Source organism: Homo sapiens, chromosome 14, assembly GCF_000001405.40.
Source record: "Homo sapiens chromosome 14, GRCh38.p14 Primary Assembly".
In the NCBI taxonomy this organism is placed as follows: domain Eukaryota; kingdom Metazoa; phylum Chordata; class Mammalia; order Primates; family Hominidae; genus Homo; species Homo sapiens.
Window position 1 is genome coordinate 18,897,509 of NC_000014.9, and position 21,946 is coordinate 18,919,454.

Sequence of the window (21,946 nt, forward strand, 5' to 3'; positions counted from 1 at the left end):
GCCATATGTAGAAAGCCGAAACTGGATCCCTTCCTTACACCTAATACAAAAATTAATTCAAGATGGATTAAAGACTTAAATGTTAGACTTATAACTGTAAAAACCCTAGAAGAAAACCTAGGCAATAACATTCAGGACATAGGCATGGGCAAGGACTTCATGTCTAAAACACCAAAAGCAATGGCAACAAAAGCCAAAATTGACAAATGGGATCTAATTAAACTAAAGAGCTTCTGCACAGCAAAAGAAACTACCATCAGAGTGAACAGGCAACCTACAGAATGGGAGAAAATTTTTGCAATCTACTCATTTGACAAAGGGCTAATATCCAGAATCTACAATGAACTCAAACAAATTTACAAGAAAAAAAACAAACAACCCCATTGACAAGTGGGCGAAGGATATGAACAGACACTTCTCAAAAGAAGACATTTATGCAGCCAGAAGACACATGAAAAAATGCTCATCATCACTGGCCATCAGAGAAATGCAAATCACAACCACAATGAGGTAGCATCTCACACCAGTTAGAATGGCAAGCATTAAAAAGTCATGAAAGAACAGGTGCTGGAGAGGATGTGGAGAAATAGGAACACTTTTACACTGTTAGTGGGACTGTAAACTAGTTCAACCATTGTGGAAGTCAGTGTGGCGATTCCTCAGGGATCTAGAACTAGAAATACCATTTGACCCAGCCATCCCATTACTGGGTATATACCCAAAGGATTATAAAACATGTTGCTATAAAGACACATGCACACGTATATTTATTGTGGCACTATTCACAATAGCAAAGACTTGGAACCAACCCAAATGTCCAACAATGATAGACTGGATTAAGAAAATGTGGCACATATACACCATGGAATACTATGCAGCCATAAAAAATGATGAGTTCATGTCCTTTGTAAGGACATGGATGAATCTGGAAACCATCATTCTCAGCAAACTATCACAAGGACAAAATAACCAAACACTGCATGTTCTCACTCATAGGTGGGAATTGAACAATGAGAACACATGGACACAGGAAGGGGAACATCACACACCGGGGCCTGTTGTGGGGTGGAGGCAGCGGGGAGGGATAGCATTAGGAGATGCACCTAATGCTAAATGACGAGTTAATGGATGCAGCACACCAACATGGCACATGTATGCATATGTAACAAACCTGCACATTGTGCACATGTACCCTAAAACTTAAAGTATAATAATAAAAAAAAATTAGAATGCTAAAATCCAAAAAAAAAAGAAAATTAAAATTATCTTAGGCAATTTAGAAATAGCAACTGAGATAAGAGCTGGAGAGAGGCCTTTCATGGGAAGGTGAGAAGGGGTTACTTAGAATTGTTAAAGGGCGGGGGCAGGGGGAGGTTCGACAAAATTTTCTTACTTTCTTGATTCCCTAATGCTCCAGTCCTTTGGACTTCTTGGTCTTAAGGCTATATGAATGACCTAATTAGACAAGTTTCCCATCTTCCACTGATTCTTCACCGCCTCTCCACTATTTCTCAACCTCAATTTGTTTCCTACACACTGCCACCTGTGGCCAGCAAATTGACTAACAATGTACGTCTACTAACTTAACGGTCATGGATGTTAAACACTGTTAAATCCAGGAAACTGGTAAAGATTAAGTCTATAGCTAATGATTGGCAGAACTAAGTCTAAACATGATCCTTGAGATTCCAAAATCAGTGGTCTCTATACGTATCATGTTGTCCCTAAGGCTCAATTACCACGAATGTATGTTATGGTAAATGGGACCAAATAATGTCACAGAAGAGTTTTCAAAAGGAAGGTAAAATGAGGCAAGAAAAAAAGACAATGATAGGGAAGGCAATGCAAGCATCATATCTATTATTAAGGAAGAGCTCACAACATTTCCAGAAAGGCTTTCTAGGAACCAGCCTCGACTGAGGGCAGCACGAACAAGCACCATTTCCCAGGCCACCCCTTGCACCATCTTCATGATTTCCCACCACCCCTTTGAATTATTTTCTAAATCACCCTGATGCTGTCTTACACAGCATATTCTTAAAAGTTCTCAGAAACAGGCTCTTACAGTTTTATTTCTTCTTTTAAAAAAAGTTCCCGCTTATCATGTTGTACTATTTAATCAGAATATACTTGAAAACAAAAGATGCTTTGTGGTTTTTTAACTCTTGGTAATTAATCCATTGTAGGCAGTATTTTAAAAAATGATGTAGGACAGGGAAACCAATATGAAATGGGTAGTCTGAAAAGCAGTTACTAGATACTGACCACCATTTTAGGAAAGGCAGGCTATTTAACCCACTGTATGCTCCCAGGTAAACTTGTCTTCAATTCTTGTTAAGTCAAATATGAAAAACCAAACTTGCCATCTCTATAATTGCTATCGTTTAAAAAATTCTGTTGAGAGGAGACACCAAACATAGTATTTCTTACCCCGTGCAGCATAATAAAAAATAGGATTCCCAGCTTTGGAAGCCCCAGCTTGGTAGAAAATACTTAACGTTTTCAAAGCCTTGATCTCTTCTTTTTCAGGTACCTGATGCCTAAAAGAAAAAGAACACAGTACCTCTGAGGCTTTATGTTGTCTACTGAGTATGTAAAATAGTCTATAATTGGATAAACAATAAAATACTAAAATAAAAAAATATTTTAAAAGCAACAGGCATTCTAAAGGGTAATCTGACAACATGCACCAAAAATTTCAAGGTATTGCTCTTTGAGCCACAAAAGCACTTTTAGGACTATTCTAAGAGAACTATTGGACGAGGATATTAACCATAGGATTGTTTTTACTCATGACATTTTTGTCCCAGACAGAAGTTTATGATTTTTGAATGAATTCATTTTATCAATCTTTTCCTTTCTAGCTTATGGATTTTGAATGGATGAAAAAGGCCTTGCTTTGCCATGCTGTTTTGATTGATGGGAGTTTATCCTCATAAATGGTATGAAGATATTTTTCCAGATCATTACTCAGTTTTATCAATACCATTTATTGAAAGTCCAACCTAATCTCCTGGATTTCAAATACTCAGCATGTACAGATTTTTCTTTGTTTTTATTCCTTAAACAATATGGTATAACAACTATTTATATAACATTTATATTGTATTAGATATTATAAGTAATCTAAAAATATTTAAAATATATGGGAGGATGTGCACAGTTTATATGCAAATACTATGACATTTTGTATCAGGGACTTGAGTCTGTGGATTTTAGTGTTCATGGGAGTGAGATGTGGGCAGGAGTTTGGGGGGTGGTTCCTGGAACCAATCCCTGACAGATACTGAGAGACGACCGTATTATAAAGCTAGGCTTTGTCAAAGAAACATATGTAAATGCTTATTATACAGTCCATAGTGTTTAATCACTTTCTGATATGTGTCAATAAGTATTTATCATTAAAGTAGACTTAATTACTTCCTTTTTTGGTCTATCTCTGGTGTTTGAATCAGGAAATCAATTGTTTCTTAGACTCAACACAATGAGTTTCTCAAATAATACCTTTATCTATCTCATCATAACATAAATGCAATCTGAGGCTTTATGTATCTTATTTCCCAATAACTGTAGACTATTCTTCATAAACTGACAACAATAACTTCCCAAACATACCGCTCTCGCACATTTATTTTTCCTGAAAGTCTATCGGTCAAGAAAAAGTAGTAATAAAGATTAGTGTCTTTACATATTTTGAACACGAAAGTTTTACATCTAAAAAGTTTAAATACACATAAAATACAAGTATAAAGCTGTAATGAAGTAGTTATAATTCTCACAGTAAAACCCACTAATATTTGAAAGTCATTTTTTTTACCTTGTAAGACATTTTACATCATCATCTGCTGCTTGGTTTGATGTTCCCATAACCCAGTCTGTCAGGTATTCTACCATCTTATTCCTATAGAATGGTGGAGAAAAGAGAAACAGCAAACAATTTTTCTGAAGTCATACCCCCCCACACACACACCTTCAGTCATGTAAGATTACTTATGGTGCAAATAATTTGGCAGATAACCCAGGTGACATGACGACTTTATAAAAGAGATACTGCTATCATAGATGTAAAAGCCAGAAGGAACAAGCAACGTGGATACTGATCCTCCATCATGGCCTTTAGTTATGCTATCAGATTGGAAACAGGATCAAATTCTTAGCTCAAGTACAGCAGAGTTTTAGAAAAAGGGAGGCTTGCCACAGGCACAAAGCTTAGGGAAATTTGAGGAGAGACACAGAGAAAAACAAACATGTAAACTGCTCTCTTTTTATGTCTTCCTTCCTACCAATAACCAGATATCTACTCCATTTCTGTACTTCATTCAACAAATTAAGATTTACCCAGCACTTTCGGAGGCCGAGGCGGGCGGATCACGAGGTCAAGAGATCGAGACCATCCCGGCTAAAACGGTGAAACCCCGTCTCTACTAAAAATACAAAAAAATTAGCCGGGCGTAGTGGCGGGCGCCTGTAGTCCCAGCTACTTGGGAGGCTGAGGCAGGAGAATGGCGTGAACCCGGGAGGCGGAGCTTGCAGTGAGCCGAGATCCCGCCACTGCACTCCAGCCTGGGCGACAGAGCGAGACTCCGTCTCAAAAAAAAAAAAAAAAAAAAAAAAAAAAGATTTACAAGACCCTACATTGCTCTTTTGAGAACTCACCTAAATTTCATCTCTCGGCAAAATGACAGGTCATCTCTCCTTGCCATCGTTACTTCAACCAACTGACACAGTTTCGTTTTTATTTGAATTGCATGGACCATATTCCCAAGCACACAAACGTACCTATACAGACATAGAGACAATAAAAAAATTATCAGATACAGACACAAGATAAGGCATTCAAGATACTTTAACCATCAAATAAAACGAACTAATCGTAAGTTTGAAAACAGTAAGACATTTATTTATAGGAGAGCATACACAATTTCTGGTTACCTTGTTGTCACAGCCTAGTTTGTGTGCAGTAAAGAATGGCAAATTATTTTATCAATTACTATCAATATCAATGTGTAAGAGGTTTTTCTTGTCTCTTAAATCTTAAAGTATGTTTCTGCTACATTTCAGTAGAAGGCTTACCTGACCAGATCTAACATCATTGTTTCAATGCTAGCTTGCTCTAGATGTTCAGAGCTGCCTTCAGTATGATTATCTAGCAAGTTCTTCATTATATCTACAAAGTGAGTATTGGTATCAGTCAATAAAACCTATAGAGAGAACAAATATATTAATGATTTGCCATCAATGCCCAGAAGACAGATCCCTAGAGAGATGAAACTGACTGATCTAAACACACAAATAGAGACATGCACCCACAGGCACGCAGCCAAACAGGCACACAGATATACACAGACACTCATACCCATATACAAGGCACGTATACCCTCAGGCACACATACACATCAGAGTTCCTAGAAGCAAGCTGACCATTCATTGAGATGATTCTTCTTTCTACAATTTTTTGACAATTTTTAAAAACTGTGAGTACCTAATTTAAATAATCTGAAAGAAAAAGGCTTCATTATTTCAAACAAGTCACTCTATTCATAGGGAAAGGTGAAAAATAAAAAAGAGCACACTTTACCTGTCCTTAGGAGTCAAAAAACTTGCTGATGGGTCTTCTTCAATTTGTTAAATAGCATCAGATAAAGAGCAGGACTCAATTCTAGACCCACCAGGTCCTTATCATTGGTCCGTATTTGAAGTCCCACTTTCTCAACGTTACACACCATTAACGACAACAGCTGATCCATATATTTCCTGACAGGTGTATCTGCGTTTCCCTCTGAGGACATCACTGAAATCATGGAACCCTTATGTTCACTGACCGGACCCACGGGTGGGCTATAGGTTGCCAGGCCAGAATTCCTTCTCTGCTGGAGGCACACTCCCCCAAGGGCACAAAGGAAGCCAGTCATGTTGATCCATGCCTGTAGGGAGTCTGTGTCAGACAAATCTATGGGTCCTCCTCCACTCACATGGGACATTCGCCTCTTAACAATGGTCTTGTGAAGCTTTCAACAGCCTAAACACAAAATTTTTGTGCAAAGCATGAATTAAACCTAAATTAGTTGAGACTTGACAAATTACTCTTTATCCAACATTTCTTCCGTGACAAACGTACACAAAAATGTAAAAAAATACATTAAAATCAACCCCCTAAATTACCATATACATTTTTAAAGAGCCACTGATTTATTTTTGTCATATACTAATATAATTGCCCAAGTATCAAATTTCTTTTAAAAAGCTTTGATTTCACACGGATGAACCTTGGGAACATTATGCTAAGTGAAAGAAGCTAATCGTAAAAGCCCACATATTCTAAAACTCCATTTACAGAAAATATCCAGAATAGGCAAATCTACAGAGACAAAGTAGATTCGTGGTTGCCCAGGGTTGGAGAGGCGGGGGGAAGAGAGACAAGAAAGTTGGGGGGTTGTTAGAGGCAGAGATAGCTAAAGGATACAGGGTTTTCTCAATTGATGAAATTGTCCTGAAACTGATGGTGGTGATGGTTGCACAACTCTGTGAATATGCTAACAAGTCACTGAATTGGACACTTTAAATGCGTGAATTGTATGGTATGTAATTACATATTATAGTAACAGTTACCCCCAAAAGCTTTCATTCTAAAGCTACATGTCCCCTCCAAATAAAGGTATGAGGTACACAATTTTGCTTCACAAAACTATAACTTTTTTCTTATTATAATTAAGCATGACAGAAAAATAACATGGGGGAAGAGCCAGTTTTTATAAACCACCTAATAATGAGAGCAATGTGAACATTATAAATCATATACACACGAACACCAACTCATCAATTTCCAAAGTAATGGATAATATAGTCAATAGTAATAGTTGAAGGAACTGTCCATGTTTTAAAATTTCATTTTATCTATGGGTTCCATCTTCTGCCCAAGACATTCTTTAATTAGAATACCTAACAAAATAGCAAAATGAATGGTTTCCATGTTAATTTTTCTCTACCTCTGTTGCTCCTTTTCTGAAAATTCTGTGAAACACCCTGATGAAGGGAGAAAGAGCAAGAAAAGATAAAGAAATGGTCTTTGCAACAAACAGTCTCTAGCAGTGCTGCCCAGTATTTCTGTGATGATGGCAACATTTTCTCTCTGCTGTCCAACAGAGTAAGTACCTGTCATATGTGGCTACTGGGTACCTGCAATGTGGCTACTATATGATTGAGGAACTAAACTGTATTTAATTTTAATTATGTTAAAATTTAAGTTAAATAGTCACACGTAGCTAGTGGCTATCATATTACAAAGTACAGGTCTAGATAAACCACAACTAAATATCAGTCTTCAGACAACTATATGCTTACTTTACTGAGTGACTCGTGAAAGATTACCAAAGAGAAGGACATATATTTAGCAGATCAGTTAATAGACAAAAGTCAACTTTACAGACTTACCTGGCCATCTTCCATTTGGGCTTTTGGATAGCTAAGGATTAGTTTTGTTGCTTGTTCCCATTTTGCATGTGTATCTTCCCAAGTCTAAAATGAAGACAGTTATCACTTGAAAGCAACTTTAAGTCTAGAGCTAAACATCAATCAGCAACAGCCAAGCTTCAAACTTGATATATATTAAGTACTCAGATATTATACTTGTAATATGCACATATCTTGGATTTACTTCAAAAGCTATTCCTCATCACACATATGTAACAAGAGGCTTCCAAAACTGAGGGTGGGCGCCTGGGAGGGGTGTTTCTCTTGCTAAGAGCACACCTCAGTGTTTCCTGCAGTGGGATGCTCAGTGCGCCTCAGCAGTGCCATCACTCTTTCTGAAGTGCTGCTGTGCCTAAGCAACTACAACAGCAAATCAAGTTACTGCACTTAGAGCCCTGCCTGCCAATGGAGAACCTGATAAGCCCCACCCAAAAGGCAGAGTAGGAGGAGCAGAGCAAATGCCTCAAATGATAAAGCCAAAAACTTCCGTTCACTAACCTCACAGGAAAGGTACTTATCTTAGACTCTACAATGTCCACAGCATAAAATAGCTATTCCCACCTATAATTTACTCAAAACATATGCCAATGTGTGTAAACTTCACTATCCATAACATACGGAGTTATGGATAACATAAATTACATAGTCATATGTAATTTGACTATGTATATGGATAACATAAATTACATAGTCATACAAACGTAAATTACATAGTCATAACTGATAGTAACACGTACTGCCAGTTAATTTTAAAATCTATAGCATATTAAAAACTCAGTGGGAGACTAACAATTTATTTCAAACGCTTTTTATTTTCATCTTACTTTGTTCAGAAAAGGATTTCAAGTAAGCTACTTGAATTTCTCCTGTAAACTTACAGAAGTGTAATCTTAAATACATTCTCACAATCAGATGCCATGTGCTTTAGGGAGGTTGAGTAAAAAAACCACTATTCATATTTACCTGTTGACATCACATTGCTGACAGGCAAACTCCATGAATGTGTTAGAGTTGGGCAAGAGGTTACGCAATGACACTTCGTCCACCCCACACCGGGTATCTGCTTCCTCACAGAGGTGGCGGAAACAGGACATGGCAACCAGAACAGCTTCAGTGTCAGGGTTCCGCAGAAACATGTACAGGGCCACTTCTAGTTTGGTCTGCGCTTGTCAGCAAGTCAGGGGGGTTCCGCTGCATCCTGCTGCACTATCCTGAGAGTCAAGGGTGGTAGACATATATTTGCAACTTGGGTAATTTTATGTATAAAACCCAACAATGCAATAAACTGCGTGTGTGTGTGTGTGTGTGTGTGTGTGTGTGTCCACATATATCTCAGCATACAATAACTCATAAGAGCTTTCTCCTTTAATCATTATATGAATTTTTCAAACCCCAAATTATCTTGTCCAAATGAGAAATGAGATTATCTGGACCAATATAAAGCTACTATCTGTCCAATTTCAAATAAAATAGGTATTATCCTATTCCAGATTCCAGAAATGGAAACCGATTCTAACACGGACAGGTAAAACACCATAACATAAATCTACTGCAGTAACTATATAATGTACTTCCCAGTCAATTACAAATGACAAAAACAGAGGAAGTAACAGGAAATTCTATCTACTTGCTCTAGGGAAGTAATAAAATAAGTACACTGCGGCACTCATTGAAACAAGGGCATAAACAAGAACAAAATATTGCTGTAGAAGATAGACTTGATTCTGAATGACCTATTCCGCAAACATGAAATGGAGAAAATAATTGACAAAATACATTCAAATTCTGCAAGTAAAACAGACAATAATAAATAGCATACTGCTTAGATGTTTTTTTCTTTAACAAGGCTATATTAAAAATTAGGGATGAAAAAAGTTTTGGTTTGGAAAATAAACTCTTCTGTAATGACCCGATATTTTCACTTGAAATATGATTTATATTTAAAGGAAATTATACACGCAAATGCAAATCACAGAAACACTTATCTTTAACATGAAACAAAATATTTTGTTTTTATCCCTGTACATCTGTACCTTTGTTAGCTGGTACAAATTCTATACTTCTATGCTATGAATGGTTTTTCATGAGGTGGAGGTTATCAGATACAGCTTGTATGTGTCAAGTGCTATTTACACATTTTTTTATTTAACCCTCACAACAACTCTGGAGCAGGAATTATTATTGTCCCCATTTTAAAGTTGAGGAATTGAGGAACAAGGATGTTAAGAACTTGCCCAAAGTTCCATAAAGAGCAGTGATAGAACTAGAGTCTAAGCAGTTTTTCACTATTACTCTATATTACCTGGATGAAATTTACCAAAGTTCATTCAGAAAACAAATAGAGCACACGAGATGATACAGGAAAATTACAAAAGAAGCTGACCATAGAGGAGTTCCCTTTTCCCTTCTGGAGAGAGGCTCAGGAGTACGTAGTGACACTTCATGACCCATGGACATTTGATTGGTATTTCCACTAGAAGGAGTATCACATCCTACTCCATAAAAAAGGAGAAAGTGACATGAACTTCTATCTGCCTGCTAGAAAAAAGAAGGAAAGAAGCTTTACTGACACACTGACAACCAAGAGGAATAAACACTTATATCGGTTGTCTTCCTGTTTGAGACTCTCCTAGAAAACCTCTCCTCTCAATCTCTACACCCCACCTTGAAGGAAATTCACTAGAAACCCATTAGAACAAATAATGTTCACTTAATGTCTTTAAAATTTCTTTCAGTTTCCCATTCTCTAAATAATCAGAAACAGTAGATTCTACAAATATAAATTAAGTCTAACATAAACATAAGTAAAACATCAACAATGTATATCCACTGTATGAAAACTATAATTTGGTCTCAATGACAAAGATTTTTTTTCTGCAAGATTTTATCCGTGCCATGTTGGGATAACTAGAAATTGACTCTTGAGATTAAGTTCTTCTGGACCAGTAATTAACACTGGTATATACACCAAGTATATCACAAGAGTGACTGTGCTGACCAGGGCACTACGAATTCATTACTGGATTCCTCATACTCATATTCTGGAGATTATGCCATAGGCAAGGGCACGAAAGTCTGAAGTCTAATCTCTTTCCATATCTTTGGAATAATGCCAAATTCTGCTACATTAACACATCAAATAAGCCAGATGTGAATAAACCCACTTCACCATTAGTCTATTTCTAAACAGAGACAATTTATTAATAACAAGCTGTATAATACTGAAAAGGATATGAGTTTCATACATTTAAGGTTTTTCACAGCTATGCTTCTAGTTCCAGATAAAAATTCATTAAATCAAGTACTCCTAAAACTAGGCCATAATAGAATTCCTAAATTGATTAACTATAGAAACTATATGTTAGAAGAAATGTAAGACTCTTCTCTATCTGCCACAACCTCACCATGTTTCAATAGTGCAGAATCAAAAAATTTCACTCCACCCCGAGAAGTGTCGTGAAATTTTCAAGATGTGAAACCCTTATTGGAGGAATAGAAATAAACCTAGATTGAGGACCCTCAACCTTTTCCCTTTTGCTTCTTGATAGATAATTCTCTGGACTAGTCTAGCCACGACATCTAGGCCTTTATGATTTCTCAGAGCTATGATTCTAGAACTGGACAAAAAACTCATTAAATCAAGTACTCCCAAATCTATGCCATAATAGAATTCTTAGATTAATTATAGAAGCTATATGTTAAATTTTACGTATGAATTATGTCTATGTGTGAACTTGAGAGTAAAGATAGAATATGCTCCTCAAGCTACTTTGGTTATAGCAGTCCCCACTTTTCCTAGCCTGTCCCATAGAGACCTATGTAACTCAACTAGAACTAGAATTCATCAACAGTGTGGTTTTACGGCCAAAGCTTCAGAATAATTTTAAAATGCTAATTTGCCAGCCCTTGTCCTCTGCACATATATATCCTTTTGAGAACCTTGGGGGGAAGGAGGAGCTGAAATAGAAACTAATTTGGCTATAAAACACTTTCTTAATCTCTCCCCATCACCATTCCAAATATTCTCTCATTTTTTAAAGATGTCATTTCGTTTACCTTATTTTTAAGAAAGAAATTTATTCCTGCAGATCAAAATTTCCTGCAACCACTTGAGAATTTCTGTGCTACTAAGCATTTAATGACTAGTTAATTTCTTGCAGATGTAAAAATACACTTGTGAGCTGCAGTAACATAAAATTTATTGTTACTACCATCAACAATAACCTAATGCAGATATAACCAGACATAAGAATGGCATTCTCCCATAATGAATACAAGTTTGGAGAAGCTTAGTTATGTTAAGCATGTCAGTTGAATGATACGGAAATTAAGAAGAAAGAGAAATGTTAAGAAATGGTAAGGGCAATTAAGAATCTGATCTAATTATATCAGTATTCATTATACATTAGGTTTCTTAGAGACGTCTTAGTTTTCAGTTATGATCAGAAAGGATCAGTAAGTGCTCTTGAGCTAAAAATTACCCTCAAGGTCTTGGCGTTTCAGTTAAACCAAATGAACTTAGTGTGGTAATTTTGACACATTTCATAAAAAAACACTTACACAAAGCAAGAGCTCTGGATCTGCATGAATTAGTTTCACCATGGACAAGAGAAGATACTTACAGCTTCTTGTCTCCAGGCCTGTAGGTTTTTCTTTAAATTTAAGGCTTGTTACTTTTTCTTTAAATATAAGACTCTAAAAACAAAACAAAAACATGGTATCAGACATAAGACTCAGGATAATAGCTATCCAACCTTTTAAAAGAAATTTATTATGAGAAAACTTTGAAAAAAGCTATTTTTATACTACCAAATGTGTGGTATAAGTAGAAACACTCAGTAGTAAGCATAAGGTCAGTATTATTAAGCTTACAAAATGGAAATTGTTTTTGCACCATTTATATTATTTTTTAATCAATCTAATGAAACAATGAAAATCTACTACAATACTCAAAGCTTAATATCAGGTTGTAAAAAGCCTCCTATTTAAAAAACTATTTTCCAAAATGTAAAAACATAAGGGAAAAAATATTTGGTCTATAGTTCTCACAAATCTCCACACTGGGTAACTCATTAACAAACACTCCCCACACATATACGCAAGTATTTCACAGACTCTACAGTATTGTCCGTTTTAAGATGCAGCATTATTTGATGTCCCAAAAGGAATGAAAACACACTGTCAATTGTAAGACACCATCTAAAATAAGATACACTCCCAATTTCAGAGAAGAGTAAAAATAAGTGCTTCTTAGAATTAATGAAATATGTTATCTAGACAATCTCTGTATTTACTAGTTTAATTGTAAAATTTGCTTTTTCCTTCGATGGCACTCCATCTCTTTTGAGGTACAGAATGCACGCATTTTGCCTGAAGAACATTCATAAAACAGAAAGAATTCAGAGAAAGGTAAACTTATGGAAAATATGTTTCCATTACAGAGACATAGGATGAATTAAAATAATCATAGATGTTTTTCAACCAAAAATCCAATAATTATATTCTAGATCTAATATCACCTATTATTATAACATATTTCCTTCCTTTTCTTCTTTAAAAGAACACAAAACTATCTGATTTTGACATGAATGCCTTTATGTAAACATATATATAACATAGAAATAGTAGACTGTATACCAACTGTGGACCCATAATACAAATGTCCAAGTAAACGGGCTGTCTTTCAAAGTTAAAAAGCAGACATGCATATCTACAACACAAATGAACCATCTTCTGTGATTAAGTGAAACATGCATTTGTTATTATACCCAAGAACACTGAAGGGCTGTAGTCCTCAGAAGGGAAGAATAGCTATTTAAATGCACACATTTATATTCAAGAATGTCACTACAGAAGAGAGATGGCAAAACTTACAAATAGTTTGGTTTTATATTTATAACTGCCCCTTAACGCCTAGGCAAATGTTTTATTAAATGATGTAATAAATTCTGGTTTTACTGTTTGCTCTCTTTCAACTGTATTTTTTCCTCACTCTAAGTTGAGGTGTTTCACCTTAGATCAAGCTGAAACTTTGATTAAACAAATGTATTTACTTTGATGTAACTAAGTGTAACTATCTAACGACTCTTCTCTAATGCAGCCATTGCACAGGAAGATAAGATCAGAGAACAAGTAGTAGATATCAGAATTTTTCCTTATTTAAGAATAATTTCCAAAAAAAGTAAATAGTCTTATGCCACATAACAACATTTCAGACAATGACAGACAATATGTAACACAGCTGAAAAATTCCTATCACCTAGTGACATAACCATCATGATGTCCAAGCACAATGCATTACTTTTTGTTTGCAGCGATGCTGGTGTAAACAAACTTTCACTTCTATTCATACAAAAAGAGTATAGCACATTCAATTATGTATAGTATACAATACCTGATAATGAGAATAAATAACTGTTACTGGTTTATGTATTTACTATAATATACTTTTTTTTTGAGATGGAGTCTCACTTTGTTGTCCAGGCTGGAGTGCAGTGGTGTGATCTCAGCTCACTGCAACCTCCACCTCCCGGGTTCAAGCAATTCTCCTGCCTCAGCCTCCAGAGTAGCTGGGACTACAGCTGCAAGCCACCACACCTGACTTATTTTTTTGTATTTTTAGTAGAGAAGGCCTTTTGCCATGTTGGCCAGGCTGGTCTCAACTCCTGACCTCAGGTGGTGATCCATTGCCTGGGCCTCCCAAAGTGCTGAGACTACAGGCGTGAGCCACCAGGCCCAGCCTACTATGGTATACTTTTTATTGTTATTTTAGAGTATACTCCTACTTAAAGATAAAAAATTAACTATGAAACACAGCCTCAGAAGGTCCTTTAGGAGGTACTCCAGAAAAAGGCATTGTTACTACAAGAGATGACAGCTGGATCCACACGTTATTTCCTCTAAAAACCTTCCAATGGGAGCAGATGTGGAGGTGGAAGACAGTAACACTGATGATCTTGACCCAGTGTAGGCCTAGGCTAATGTATATGTTTGCGTCACAGCTTTTAACAGAGTTTTCAAGAAAATTAAAATAGAACGTTTTTCAAATAAAAAAACTTACAGGCTATAAAGAAAAATATTTTTATACAGCTAGCTGTACAATGTATTTTAAGCTGTTATTGCAAGTCAAAAAGTTAAAAAATTTAAAAGTTTATAAATTTTAAAAGCTACAGAAAAGTTAATTATCAAAGAAAAAATATTTTTTAATAAATTTGGTGTAGCTTAAGGGTACAGTGTTATAAAGTCTACAGTATAGATCCTGAGTATGAGAAAAAAAACAAGTATTGAAAGAGGCATCCTGTGCCCTGGACTCAGGGGCTTCCCTAGGGGGTGCCCCACTTGCCCAAAGCAGTGCAGCCTGAACCCAAAACTGTGAGCAGAGAGTCCCATGTGTGTTTGAAGGGTTTCCTATGTCCTCTGTGTTCTCCTATAGAAAGCAGCAGGGGTGTGTCGAGCACACACAAGACGCGCTAACAACAACCTGAGCACAACCTCATGCTGCTGAGATGCACCCGGACCCTGGACAGGCCGTGGTGAGAGCAGCCCGAGGATCGTGGCTGGGGACTGTGTCTGGCTTCATGGAGGAAGTCACATGGAGTGCCTTCTCCAAGAAGACAGCCAACTCCCTGCAGGCAGCACACTCCACTGCGCACCTATCAGTCTGTACAAGTGTGGGATTTCATTTGGCAGATCCCCAAGGCAGGAGAGAAAAGGAGGAAAGCTAACTTAACTCCAGGCTCTCCATGGACGCCAACATCTAGAAGTGTCTGACAGGAGGCATGCATCCTTGGCCCCGATGAGGCTGCGGGCCATCCCTGCAGTCCTGGCTAGGCAGCCGAGAGGCAGGCCTTGTGGATGCTCTGGGCACAGGTGCTGAGCAAGGTGGTAACCTAGTGCTTGTCCGGGAGCTGCAGCCGCCTGGAGGTCACGCGGTGGTGCATCGACCTGAGGAAGGGGTTGGTGCCTGCAACCGAACAGTGGGCATGAGCCTGAGGCAGCTGGCGCTGCACCCACGCCCTGCACACCCGGCAGTGCTCTGGGAAGTGGCAGCCCAGGACTGGCTGAAGCACCAGGAGGATCCCTGCACGCTGCCTGCCTGGCCATCAGGCTCTCCTCCCGGAGCCTCATCATCAGTGAAGAACTGAATCTGAACGGGATTTGGAGCTCAAGGCTTTGCCCCTGACAACCTTGGGGACCCAGCCCTGGCTCCTGCTATGTGCCAGCTCTGGGCTCAGGGAGACTGACTCCTGTCAACATGACTTTTTTTGGAGACACATCACCCAGATGGGGTCTTGTGTGCCCAAGCTACTGGTAGGACCTGTCAGCTCCACTGAGCTCCCTAGTGGCCTCTGGGAAAAGCGGGGTCTGTCCTTGAGCCGTAGGGTTTCTCACCCCTCAGCCACTGAACACAGCCACCCTGGAAAGCTGACCGGACACAAGATGAAGGGGCAAAGGGACACAGAAGAGCAGAGACTCCTATCTCTCAGATGACCACTGGAACCTGAGAGATTCCACACAGGAGGAGCCAGAAGAGGGGAGGAAGGGGCCTGAGCCGGGGAGGGGCACAGAGGCTGTCCCTGCAGCACTAGAAGCTTGGTTTTCCAGAATGACCCCTGCCTGCCCTGGGCCCCCAGACAGCTCCTCTGGGTCTGCCCACTGTACAGCCACTGCCAGTCCATCCACAGTGGACTCTGGGCAGGGTAGTGGGTGGGCACATGGTGGCACACTTGGGAGGTCCTTGTCGTTTGCAACACACAAGACTGTACCTGTGACCCGCACGAGCCCTGGCCTGCCCCGCCTCACAGCCCTGCTCCCGAACAGGACTCTTCACACACCGGGAGGTTCTGGTGAGGCATGCGGCAAAGCCTGGATGTCTCTCTGACTCTCAAATTTCCAAACCGAAGCCCAGAGTGCCCTGCGTCAATGGGTGCCCAGAGGTCCTGCCTGTCACCTCCCTAGGGCCCCAGGCAAGCAGAGCCGTATCTGTGTTGGGGAGGTGAGGGTGCGTGGGGGCAGAGGCATGGCCAGTCTGTCCTGGGCTCCGTGTATGTGAAGACAAAGCAGACAGCCTGCTGGGGTGTGAACACAGGGTGGGGTCTGGGCACGGTGCCCTCCGGCTCGGATGGCAGAGACCTGGTGCTGTGGACAAGGCTTGCGAACTTGTGCCGGCCTGGCCCTCCTGGACGCTCGCCCAGCTTGCAGACCAGGTGGACGGTGCCATTGTTGCTGCAGCGAGAAGAGTCCAGGTTTATCATGCACTTGGGGTCCAGCCTGGCCACCTCGCCCTGGAGCATGCTGGGGATGCTCTGCCGCTCATCGTCCTCAAGCCTGTGCTTCCGGGTGCACACCACTGTGGACGTGAGGAGGCAGCATGGTGACCACAGTGGGCACACATGGTCCAGGGCTGGCCATCCGCCCTCTGCAAAGCCCAGCCCAGCTGGATGTATGTGATGAGTGGGCCGTGGATGGCAGTCATGGCTGGAGCGAATGTGCGGTACAGGGAATGCCTGAAGAGGGTGAGCGGATATTGGCCAGGACAGCATCCCAGGAGCTGCTGGCATAGGTACTGCTGTTTGGTCAGCGGCACCAGGGGCAGCGGGCTGGCGGTAGGATGCGCACGGTCAGAAGCCCGGGACCTGAGGGTTCTCCATTTAGGGGGCCTTCCCACCTCTGGCCAGTCCTCACTCACAGCCAGATTCCCGAGGCCTCTCTCTCAGCCTCCACCCTTGTGCAGACAATGTTGGCCGATCCTGGGTATAATCCCCACCCCCACAGCCTTGTCCTCCCCAGAGTCCCTGCTGTCTCTGGACCGGGTGGCAGAGGCACCCACGGGGGCCACAGACAGAGGGTGACTTCTCCCACGTTCCCTCCCAGCACAGCAAACCTGGCCTGGAAGAGGCCTGGTGGGCAGGGTCTCAGATCAGGCCCAGCCCCCACCCAGCCTGACCATGAAGGCCCCTCCAGTGGTGCCCCCAGGAGCTCTTGAGGGAGCCCCGATCCCCCAGGGGTCCCCAGCATCCCACTCACCACCGCCATGTCATTCTTGAGTTTCTCCAGGGCGATCTCACACTTTGGCAAGGTCTTCAGGGGACCTGCAGAGAGAGGGGACTTGGGCTGAGCTCTGTGCTGGAGGGCTGGGAGCCATGGCAGGTCTCAGGCTGGGATCTGGGATCCCAACCACTGCCACTGGGCCTCGGCCCTCAGAAACCTCTGCAGGAGCTCCCTTCAGCTGACCAGCTGTTCCCAGACCCAGAGTCTAGGCAGGTGGCCCTCACCCCTAGGAGCTGCCCATCCCTGTTGGCAGTGAGGCAGTGGGTCAAGAGAAGGGACAGTGGCCGGGACCCTGACCAGGCTGGAAAGGCCTCAGTTGCACCTAGGCCAGTCCCTGTCCTGCTCAGTCCTATAACCCTAATGAAGAATCAACTCAAGAAGGCCTGGAGGACCACCCAATAGTGACTGGCATTCTATCCAGACAAGCAAAACAGAGAGACACTTCTAGACGGGGGTGGGGGGACACCCTGAGTTTAGGTGACAGGGAAGTATAGGCCAACGACCATGCGGTTCTGAGGTGCTGCCCGAGCTCACAGCAGCCCGTGGCCCGGTAGCCCTGCCTTCCACCTGCTTCTCACCAGCACCGTCTTGTTTCATTTTCATGACAGCACACATGGGTTGCAAATGGGGTAACTGAGATGCAGTCCCCTGTCCATGGTCACCGGGAAGTCAGGGGCAGAACTCCAGGTCATGCTCAGGCCCATCACGGCCAGCTGATGTTCAGGTCACTGCAAGCTGGGCCCCCAACTACTGGCTGGATGAGACCTGGCTGTGATGGGCCAGCATGAGGGCCGCAGCAGTGGTCAGGAGTAGGGCAAAGGCTGGGCACCGGCCAAGATGAAGCCTGGGCTCGAAGCCCCAGCACACACCAGAGTGGAGACTTGGAGGCCTCTGTCCAGGGCCCAAAGAGCTGCCTGGGGCCTTTGCTAACCCCACATCATCACCAAATGCCCATCCATGGCTGGACGACCCACGCCCTTGTGGACCCTACGTTGGCTGTGGGCAAAACTCACTGCTTGGAGAGGTCTGTCACAATGTCCAGAAGGCTCTTCATCTTGCTCAGGTCCTTTTTTCTGTCTGGGACAGCAGAGGGGACCATAAGACACGAGCCTGGTGGCATCCCCAGGGCACTGGCCCCCACCCCGGCCGCAGCCCACCTTCACTCTTGTCGATCTTGTTGACCACGCGGTGCAGGGGCTTGATGTGCTTGGACAGCTGCTTCAGCGTGTCCCAGTACAGCTGCTCCTGGCCCGGCTGGAGCCGGCTGGACTCATGACAGAGCTGGGGTCACTGCAGGACTATGGGCGGGTGAGGCCTCAGCCCTAGACCCTCAGGCTGGGAGCTTGGGCTCTGAGGGCCCCAGAGCACGCATGAATGGTATGACCTGAGGCCTTTTAAAGGTGAGGGGTGACCTAGCACCTCAACCTGCCAGGCCGTGTACAGCTCACATGATGGAGCTGTGGGTCCCAGGCCTGGCTTAGCAGGTGTGTGTAAAGGACTAGGGGAGGGGACACTGGAGTTCTGTGGGGTTTGTGCTGTTTCTGGGTGCTGGGAAGGCTGCAGTGTGGAGCTGGGCAGGAAGCTACGGGGGACAGAGCAGGGCTGGAGCTGCAGCCAAGCGGGAGAAACATGGGAGCTGGGCCCAGGCAAGGCAGCCACCAAACTCACTCTGCAACAAACCACAGTGGTGACCAATCCCCATCCTCCTTCCCATGCCAGCTGGGCGGGACCTCACCCGAAACAAGGGGTGGGAAAACTGGCAAGACCAGCACCCCGAGCACAGAGCCAAGAGCACACACAGCTGGCATCCTGCTTCTGGAAGGTGATGGGATGCCAGCGAGACTGCAGGGTGGACACTTCCTTCAGCTAGAAGTCTTACGAGCATACCAGCTGGGTCTGCACCAGCTGAAAACACCGGCTGTTCCATGGCTGCTCACTTTCCAAATACCAAGAAATGGAAAGAAAAGGGAAGTTTGGCCCGGCACAGTGGCTCATGCTTGTAATCCCAGCACTTTGGGAGGCCGAGGCAGGTGGATCAGTTGAGGTAAGAGTTAAAGACTAGCCTGGCCTGTCTCTACTAAAAATACAAAAGAAAAATTAGCTGGGCATAGTGGCACGTGCCTGTAGTCCCAGCTACTTGGGAGGCTAAGGCAGGAGAATCGTTTGAGCCTGGGAGGTGGAGGTTGCAGTGAGCTGAGATCACGCCACTGCACTGCAGCCTGGGCGACAGAACAAGACTCTGTGTCAAACAAAAAAAAAAAAAAAAGAAAAGAAAAGGGAAGTTCTAGGCTGGGCTTGATAGCTCATGTCTATAATCCCAGCACTTTGGGAGGCCGAGGTGGGCAGATCTCTTGAGGCCAAGAGTTCGAGACGAGCCTGGCCAACATGGTGAAACCCTGTCTCTACTAAAAATACAAAAATTAGCCAGACATGGTGGCAGGTGCCTGTAATCCCAGCTCCCTGGGAGGCTGAGGCAGAATAATCCCTTGAACCCAGGAGGCAGGGGTTGCGATGAGCCGAGATCTCGCCACTGCACTCCAGCCTGGACAACAGAATGAGACTCTACATGAGAAAAAAAAAAAAAGAAAGAAAAAAGAAAAAAGAAAAAAAGAAAGGAAAAGAGAATCTCATTTTCCTGCTGGGCTTGACCTGAGGTGTTTAGATGAAGTGAGGTCCTGGACAGGGGAGGGACGGTCCAAAGAGGCAAGAGCAGCAGCTTCCACTGGCTGGGCAGTCACTACATCCCACCACCAGGCTGGCTCTCAACACACACTACGTCTTTCCTCTGCATGAAAGACCAGGAAAAGGGAGCCCCCAGCAGGCCTGAGGACATGTGGAGACACACAGGGAAGTGTGGCAGTTGGGTTCCAACCTTGTCACACAAGGTGGTCAGTCTCCCCCAGCTGTAAGTGAACATAACTTCTGTGGTGTGTTTCACACAAGACTCCATCTAAGAAAGAAGATGACTGCTGGGCACGGTGGCTCACACCTGTAATCCCAGCACTTTGTTAGGCTGAGGAGGGCAGATCACCTGAGGTCAGGAGTTCGAGACCAGCCTGGCAAACATGGTGAAACCCAGTCTCTACTATACTTTTACTGATAAAGCAGACAATGAACATAATGTATAGAAATCTTGAGCACAAATAGACATCAAAAGCACAAACAACAAAAGCAAAGATGTAATTACATTAAACTTGTCAAAAGTATAAGCAACAAAGGCAAAGATGTAATTACATTAAACTTAAAACCTTCTGCAAAGCAGAGGAAGCAATCAGTAGAATGAAGAAACAACCCAGAGAATGGAACAAAATATTTGCAAACTATGCATCAGCCAAGGGGTTAATACACAAAATATATAAAGAACTCAAACTACTCAAAAGCAAAAATACAAATAATCTGATTTTAAAAAATCTACCCAAAACCTTTGTCTCTCACCATTATTTCTCCACCTTCTTTTCCCGACCGCCTTTGGCCTCCTCCCCCTCGCCACCCATTTTCTTCCTCCATCTACCCCAAAACTTTTTCCCCACCATTTTTCCCCCACCGTCATTTCGCAAAGCCTTCTCTACTCTCCCGCTCACCACCCTTTTCCCCATCTATCTACCCAAACACTTTCCCCACTGTTTTCTCCCACCGTCTTTTCCCCTTCTCCCTGGCCACCTTCTTTTTCCCCGTCCCACTCTCATCACCATCTTTTGCTCCTTCATCTAAGCAAAAATATTTTCCCCCCTCTTTTCCCAAAACCTTCTCCTCACTCCTGCCGCTCACCAACCTCTTTTCCCCCTTCATCTACCCAAAAACTGTTTTCCTCATCGTCTTTCCCCTGCTCCTCCTTGCCACCCTCTCCCTTCTCCATCTACCCAAAAACATTTCCCCATAGCCTTTTCGGAAAGCCTTCTCCCCACTCCTGCTCACCTCCTTCTTTTCCCCCTCCATCTATCCCTCAAAGTTCTCCCCACCGTCTTTTCAGTATTTCCCCCTTCCCACTCATCCTCTTTGCCCTATCCTGCTTTCCACTCTGTTTTGCCCTCCATCTACCCCAAACTATTTTTCCATTTTTTCCCCAACCCTCTTTCCCTGCTCCCTCTCGCCACCCTCTTTTCTCCTCCTCCTGGTCACCCTCTTTCCCCCGTGCATCTACCCAAACACATTTTACCCATCATCTTTTCTTCCCCGCCCCGTCTTTCTTTTCTGCCTGCTGTGTTTTTGCAAAACCCTGTCTTCCTCCCGCTGGCCACCCTTTTCCCTTCCCCCACTTGTTACCCTCTTTTCCCCCTCTATCTACCCAAAAACTTTTCTCCCCACTGTCTTTTCACAAAACCTTCTCTCCCTACTGCTTGCCCCCATTTCCCTCCCACCCTCTTTCCTCCTCCCCCTTGCCACCCTCTTCTCCTCCATCTACCCATAAACTTTTTACCCACTGTCT

General features: G+C 42.6%; 2 pseudogenes; both read right to left on the reverse strand.

Annotated features, from left to right (window-relative positions):
• Positions 3,818–12,166, reverse strand: NF1P7 (neurofibromin 1 pseudogene 7; annotated as a pseudogene).
• MED15P6 (mediator complex subunit 15 pseudogene 6) lies at positions 15,148–19,447 on the reverse strand (annotated as a pseudogene).
• Between the last annotated feature and the right edge of the window lie 2,499 nt (positions 19,448–21,946).